Source organism: Homo sapiens, chromosome 8 (genome assembly GCF_000001405.40).
Source record: "Homo sapiens chromosome 8, GRCh38.p14 Primary Assembly".
In the NCBI taxonomy this organism is placed as follows: Eukaryota; Metazoa; Chordata; class Mammalia; order Primates; family Hominidae; genus Homo; species Homo sapiens.
The window spans coordinates 142,750,138-142,757,414 of record NC_000008.11 but is presented as its reverse complement, the minus strand read 5'-3'; the positions used below and the strand labels follow the sequence as shown (position 1 = coordinate 142,757,414).

The 7,277-nt window shown below is 60.4% G+C and overlaps 1 protein-coding gene across 1 annotated transcript; it reads left to right on the top strand.

Annotated features, from left to right (window-relative positions):
* The first annotated feature begins 4,882 nt into the window (after positions 1-4,882).
* LYPD2 (LY6/PLAUR domain containing 2) lies at positions 4,883-7,265 on the top strand. Its single transcript, NM_205545.3, has 3 exons — positions 4,883-5,021; positions 6,245-6,364; positions 6,933-7,265. Exons 1-3 carry the CDS (start codon positions 4,964-4,966, stop codon positions 7,130-7,132), a joined length of 378 nt encoding a protein of 125 aa, NP_991108.1. The 5' UTR covers positions 4,883-4,963; the 3' UTR covers positions 7,133-7,265.
* Positions 7,266-7,277: the final 12 nt, after the last annotated feature.

Here is a 7,277-nt window from a genome sequence, read left to right as displayed (position 1 = left end):
GTGTCAGACTCAGGATTGTGTCTCCTGCCCACTCAGCACCTCTAAGCCTGACTCCTTCCAGCCAGCCCCCAGGCCTCACTGGACTCTGCCAGCCCTCCCTGAGCCTTGCTGGCATCTAGCCTGGAAGGGTGCCCCAGGCCTGAACTTTTGACACTTCCTTTTCCCCGTCCACCCAGGAAGCTGCCCGAATAGAGGAGTTCCACTTTTGGAGGCAAAAAAACAAATGAGGCCATCTCATACGAGTGTGATCAGAAACTGCCCTGCCCCGGGCTTGGCCACAGCCTCCCACATGGGGCCTGGGGACCCCTGCCCCAAAGCTGAGGTGCTCACAGCACAAAACGTGAACAGGGTGAGAGGACGGAAGAGAAGCCACCAAGAGCAGAGCAGGCGGGGCTGTTCACCTGGGTGCAGGGGAGAGGCCCCCAGTGCTGCCCCTGTGGCACCTCACTGTGGCTTGGAGCCAGCAGGGAGCCCAGCCTGTGTTGGTGGAAGGCCCAGGCCTCCACCCACAACCTTGCCAGGGCACCGCCTCGTGCTGCAGGGGCTGGAAAACCACAGCTCCCTTTCCCAGGGGCCCTGGAGCCTAGGGGCGACTTCTATTTCCTGAATATGGAAGGCAGGAATCCAGGCAAGGCACCTACTTCTCTGCTGGCTGCGTGGGGTCCTGGCTCGCGGGGCTTCTGGGCCGCAGGCCACCTTGCAAAGGTATACATGTGAAGGCAGTGGCTCCTGCATAGGCCCCGCCCACCGCCTCCCTGATAAGCAGTGGGCGTGGGGTCTCATTCCAGGAGTCTTTCCTCAAGACCCATTGAGGCCATCAGAAGGCATTACCTACAAGTGACCCTTGAGGGTCAGATTCTGGAGCTGGTCATCTGACCTCTGAGGGTCCCATCAGCCGAGAAGATGGGCGGCAACAAATCAGCTTCCAAATCCCTCCCCTGGGATGAGGTGGCCACGGAAGGTGAGGCTTTGGGGACGGCATGTGGCTGCACTTCATCATAAGGGTGGGAAGGGGGAAGGCAAGAGCAGACGCCAGAAGCCACCTCCGGTGAACCTCAGCACTTGTGGAGAGAATGACAAAGTCGGGGGTTTTACTGTTTGGTGCAAGATGCAGCCAGGGATGGAACATGTCTGCCAGTGGCAGAAAAGGAAGACAGAGACTGAAGCTGGAGGAGGATGCAGTGCGCGTGGCTGACTGGCAGGTGGAGGGGTCACCCAAGGAGGAATGGGGGCCCTGGAGCAGACAGCAGCCTCCGCAGATGCCAGCAAGGAAACAGGGATGTCAGCCCTGCAACCTCAAGGACCCGGATTCTGCCAGTGCCTGAGTGAGGCTGAAGATTCCTTCTGGAGCCTCCAGGTGGAGTCCAGCCCCACCACACCTCGACTGTGGCCTGTGGGACCCTGAGCAGAGAGCCCAGCCGAACCCACAAGGCAAGAAAGGCCGGAGCTAAAAATGGGTGTGGTTTTGAACCCCTAAGTGTAGGGTGATTTGCTACCCAGCAATAGACACTAGTGCAGCCTGAGGCTCGGTTTTAAACCCCTAAGTGTAGGGTGATTTGCTACCCAGCAATAGACACTAGTGCAGCTTGAGGCTCTGACGAAGCTGGTGGCCATGTTGAACAGGTCCACATGGCCGGGAGCTGAGGGCGGCCTCCAACAACAGACAGACAGTGAGGAACAGAATTTGGCCAACTCCACACCAGTTTAAAAGCAGGTCCTCCCCAAGCTGAGCCTTGAGATGATTATGGCTCAGCCAAAGCCTGCATTGTAGCCTGGGAGTGACCCGGCAGCAACATGAAGCCGTGCCCAGACTCCAAAACAGAAACAGTGACACAGTAAGTGTGGGCGGCCACAGGATACTGACTGACCACAGGGCCTGAGCAGACACAGAACACTGGGTGATGATGGGACACCAGATGACCACGGACAGACCCTGGTAGCAAGGGACATGGCAGACCATGGAACCTGAGCTCCCATCCCACCCTGGGTACCATCCCACCCACTGACCTGTCAGCAGAAACTGCCAGGGACCAGGGTGTGGCCTCTCTTCCCTGCTGCCCTACCCCACCAGAGTGCCTCTAGGTGACAGACTTGAATCTTCACCCTGGCCCATGGAGAGGGATCTGGGGAAGGTCCTGGAGAAGGGCTTCACAGCAGGGGTCCAGTGTGCCCAGAAAAGAGGCAGTGGTGTGGGAGCAGGTGTGAGGGCCCCATCTGATCCCTGGATCACAGTTCAGGGGTAATTTCTTGAAGTCAGTAGCTCCGGTGGCAGCCTGACAATTCCTCAGTTTAGCAGCAGCATTACTGTGGTTGGAGGTCATCCCTAGAGGCTGTCTCTGGTCTCACGCTGAGCCCTGATCCTAGTTACACACTGATCCCAATACAAGTCACAAGCTGAACTCTGACATTTGTTACATGCTGAGCCCTGCTCCTGATCACACACTGAGCCCTGATCCTGATTACAAGCTGAGCTCTGACATTTGTTACATGCTGACCCCTGCTCCTAATCACACACTGAGCCCTGATCTTAGTCACAAGCTGAGCCCTGACATTTGTTACATGCTGAGCCCTGCTCCTAATCACATACTGAGCCCTGATCCTCACAAGTTGAGCCCTGCCATTTGTTACATGCTGAGCCCTGCTCCTGATCACACACTGAGCCCTGATCCTGATTACAAGCTGAGCTCTGACATTTGTTACGTGCTGAGCCCTGCCCCTGATCACACACTGCGCCCTGATCCTGGTCACAAGGTGAGCCTTGCTCCTGATCACACATTGACTCTGATCCTGGTGATGTGCTGAACTCTGATATTTGTAATATGCTGAGCCCTGATCTTAATAATAGACTGATCCCAGATTCTGGTCACACACTGAGCCCTGACCCAGAAGTTCCTGGTGGAACTGAGGAGGGAAGGGTGTGGTCTTCCTGGAACACAGTCCTCCCAAACAAAGCCAGCCCAGACCCTGGCTAGGCCACATTTTTCCACACCCCAATCAGGCAGCTGCAACTTTGCAGAAAGGCTTAGCCTGGATCTCTCCAATGGGGGTCAGGCAGATATTCTAGGAGGAGGTGAATGCCTGGGGGCCAGGCGTGTATTCTGGGTAGAAGGCACAGGTGGGGCCCCTGGGTCTGAGGACAGGAAGGAGCTGGGCCATGCCATGGCAGAGGAATTGGGTCAGGCCTCAAGAGGAACCCAGGGTGTGTAGGGTGGGGTGTCTAATCCAGTTAGCTGCACCCAGCATCAATGGCCAGTTGCAGCGTGGCTGAGTGGCACCATGAAAAACCAGACAGGCTTGCTGCTGTTCAGCCTTCACCCAGGCCTGGCTGGGCGGCCTTGCCTAAGTCAATTACTTCTCAGAGCCACAGTTCCCTTATGCAAAATAAATTCATTAGCACTGTGCACCTCTGAAGCTGCAGTGAGGAAAAGTGAGATCTGCTAGGCTAAGTCTCTGACACAAGTGGGGCGCTAGGGAATCCTTGGTGCCCCACTCACCACCCCTGCACACTCCACCCCCACCTAGTCTCAGAGAGACACAGGCTCTCCCAGCCACTGGGGCGAAGACCAGATCCCAAACAGCTGATGCAGCAGGAAAGTGTGGGGACACCAAAAGGGCCATGGCAGGGAGGGGGTGCGGGCAGGAGAGTGCGGTCGACCAAAGACAGAATTTCAAACACTGGGACAGAAGAGGGAAGGGCATTCCTGGCAGTGGGAACAGCAGGAGCAAAGACCAGGATGAGGTGGGATTTGGGTGCTCAGGCTGAAGAGCTCCAGTGTGAGTCTGGGCTTAGCTGAGATCATGGCCTTGACCGCCAGGGCCCAGGAAGACACAGGCTGCTTGTCACACATCCCTCCCCCAACCCCCACACCCTACACACTGGCAGCTGCAGGACTGGGAGCAGGGGGTGGCAGGATCACAGACCAGACACAACCTGGGGAGGCTGGAGCAGGCAGTCTGGGGGGATGTCCTTGGGGGGAGCTGGGAGCTGAGCAGGAGATGGTCTGAGGCATCCCAACCCAAAATCACTGTCCCCTGTCTGAGCCCCGGGTAAGGAACTTTCCCTCAATTTCCTTACCTGCAAGGAGGTGGTAAGCCCTGCCTGAGGGCAGCTTTATCAGAAGGTTAGAGATGAAGGTACCCAGCTGGCAGGTGGCTGGGGGCATGGGATTAGCACCCCCAAGAGACCCCAGCTCCTCCCCACCCCACTCTCTATCCAGGACCTTCTCTGCTGACCCAGTAGTTTTTGGCATTTGTCTCCTTAAGCCTCTGAGCACACCCTGTAGCTGGCTGTCCGGGTGGCAGTTCACTCCCAGGCCCCCAACACCCAGCCTGACCACTCAAAGGAGCTCGGAGGTGGGACCAAGGTCCTCCTGGAAAGATTCCAGCCCAGAATCTTGGAAGATCCAGCACACAGATCTGCCTTGGAACACAGATGACCTGAGGCAGGAGGGATCCCTGAGGAGCCAGCAGCAGAGAGTGGCCCGTAACACTCCCCTGCCCCCTTCCAGGCAGTCTGGGGGGTCCCTGGGCTGCCTGGGGTGAGCCAGTGGGGGCTCTCCTGGATGAGGGGGGTGGGGAGAAGAGCCGAGCACAGGGTGTGTAGGAGTCAAGGAGGGTCCCCACAAAGGGAAGAAGGGGCGGCCCCAGGCCATGGTGGCGGAGGCGGGGAGCTGGAGGGGTCAGGAAAGGGCAGGGAGGGGACCGGCCTGATACTGGAGGAATGAGGAAGGGACAGGGAGGGTCCCAGTTGGGTGGGGTGGGCCTAGAGGGCCAGGCTGGGAGTGGGAGGAGCAGCCTGGAAGGCTGGGGAGCCCCTGGAGGGGCGGGGTCTTCACACCTCCACCCTGGGGAAACTCTACCCCACTAATCCGCTCAGCAGACCAGTCTGTCGCCACCTCACTTGGTGTCTGCTGTCCCCGCCAGGCAAGCCTGGGGTGAGAGCACAGAGGAGTGGGCCGGGACCATGCGGGGGACGCGGCTGGCGCTCCTGGCGCTGGTGCTGGCTGCCTGCGGAGAGCTGGGTGAGGTGTGGGACCCACAGGGGAGCTGGGACGGAGGGAGATGCCACCCACTGACATTCACACTGTTCCCGGGAGGGCGCCCCAGGAAGGGGCCTCAGAGGCAGGAGAAGCCAGAGCTGTGGGGCCGGGGGTGTGGCCCCCCCGCCATAAGGAGGGGAGGGTGGAAACGGAGAGAGGGGCTGGCGGTGAGGGGGACGCCTAATGAGGGTGAGCAGAGGGTGGCCTTCGAGGTGGGCGGGGGCCCAGCCAGCCACACCCCTGAGCACCAGCCTGGGTGTCACACTTTATGGGGGGCTATGGGCACCCAGAAGGGCCTTGAGCGGGGGAAGGAAGGCAACCCCAGGGAGGCTCTGAGGCTGGGGTGGCAGTAGAGATGGAGAGGAGTGGGGAAACCAGACACATGGGGTGGGGTGACTCCCTGATGTGGAGCCTGAAACAACCATCAGGGGCAATGTCCTGGACTCAACCAGAAGCAGCTTGGCCCAGAGGCCCCTGGCAGATGGCTTTGCCCATTTCCCAGAAACAGGTGCACCAGAGAGGGGCAGAGGCCCCGCTGCATCCCCACAGTGGGGACAGAGGAGTCGGGCCTAGCTGTGCAGCTGGCTGCCCTGGCCAGCTGGAACCAGCCAGACCCACCTGGGCTGCTGCGGTTGGGGCCGGGGTCACCGGAGCAGGAGGGAATTGGAGCCTCTCCGGTCCCCGTCCCTGCCGGTCTGCAAGTCCCTGTGGGAGAGGAGTGGGCACCCAGACACAGCCCGGATGCAGCCTGGCACACCCTGCATTCCATGGGCCTCCTGGCCTGATCCCTTGACCTCCACAGCAGCACTTCCCTGATGGGGAAACTGAGGGGGTAACCTGCCCCCAGCCACGCCCCCACCCAAGGCTTCCTGCCCGAGGTGCCTCTTGCTATGAAGATGCCAGGGCCTTGGTCCCCCTGAGTCTCCCAAACACTTCCAAAGGGGCTTGGCTTGGCTCCTCCCAGGCCTTGCAGGCTGGATCCCCACCCCCAGCAGCCGACTCTGCCTCTGGGATGCAAGGTTCCGAGGCTGAGCCCGGCCTGTCCCCAGCTGCAGGCTCCTGGCATTGCTCCTGAGTTTTGGCTGGTAGGCATCTCTACCCTGGCCAGTGTCACTGTCCTCTTCAGACCTGGGCTTCCAGGACAGACTGTCTCTGGGCTTGGGAGGGGTGGAGCCTGCCTGACCGCCCTTGTCCCTTCTCCCCAGCGCCGGCCCTGCGCTGCTACGTCTGTCCGGAGCCCACAGGAGTGTCGGACTGTGTCACCATCGCCACCTGCACCACCAACGAAACCATGTGCAAGACCACACTCTACTCCCGGGAGATAGGTCAGTGGGCACAGAAGGCGGGCAGGGCCGGGTTCCCGGTCAGAGCCACCTCCAGCCCAGTCACACTCTACTCCCAGGAGATAGGGCAGTGAGCACGGAAGGCGGGCAGGGCTGGGTTCCCGGTCAGAGCCACCTCCAGCCCAGTCACCACCAGCCAGCTTGGCCCCAGTGCACAGCCACCACCTCACCCATCTCCAGAAATGGCTTTCTGCCCGAGCTAGGCCTCCCTCTGCCCTCCCCTTCCTTCCTCTCTCCCTCATGTCCTTCGGTGGGAACATATCTGCAACCTCGTTTTGGGGGGACTGGAGAAGCTGGGCACACTTACAGGCTTTGGTTTCAACAGTCACCTCGGGGCGGGAACTGCCCCATCAGGCCGGGTGCCTGGCACATGGTAGACACCCGGACAACGTCGGTGGGAGGAGAGAGGAAGAGGAGGGCACTGGGCCAGGAGGGACGGAGACCCGGGTGGGTGACCCCAGAGTGGGGCCTGCATGAGGTGGTACTGGCAGGGACCAGGGCTTGGAGGCAGTGACCAGCCCTGACGGCTGACTCTTCCCACACCCCACAGTGTACCCCTTCCAGGGGGACTCCACGGTGACCAAGTCCTGTGCCAGCAAGTGTAAGCCCTCGGATGTGGATGGCATCGGCCAGACCCTGCCCGTGTCCTGCTGCAATACTGAGCTGTGCAATGTAGACGGGGCGCCCGCTCTGAACAGCCTCCACTGCGGGGCCCTCACGCTCCTCCCACTCTTGAGCCTCCGACTGTAGAGTCCCCGCCCACCCCCATGGCCCTATGCGGCCCAGCCCCGAATGCCTTGAAGAAGTGCCCCCTGCACCAGGACTCCTGAGTCTCCTTTCTGGGCACAGACCTGCCCTGCTGCATCTCTGACCTCGTCGATGTCCCCGTTCCTGT

Bases quoted from the DNA above. Each gene is read 5' to 3' on its own strand.
- LYPD2 (NM_205545.3), top strand. From the start codon at position 4,964: ATGCGGGGGACGCGGCTGGCGCTCCTGGCGCTGGTGCTGGCTGCCTGC. The intron at 5,022-6,244 runs GTGAGGTGTGGG...CCTTCTCCCCAG, and splicing joins GGCTGCCTGCGGAGAGCTGG to CGCCGGCCCTGCGCTGCTAC. The intron at 6,365-6,932 runs GTCAGTGGGCAC...CACACCCCACAG, and splicing joins ACTCTACTCCCGGGAGATAG to TGTACCCCTTCCAGGGGGAC.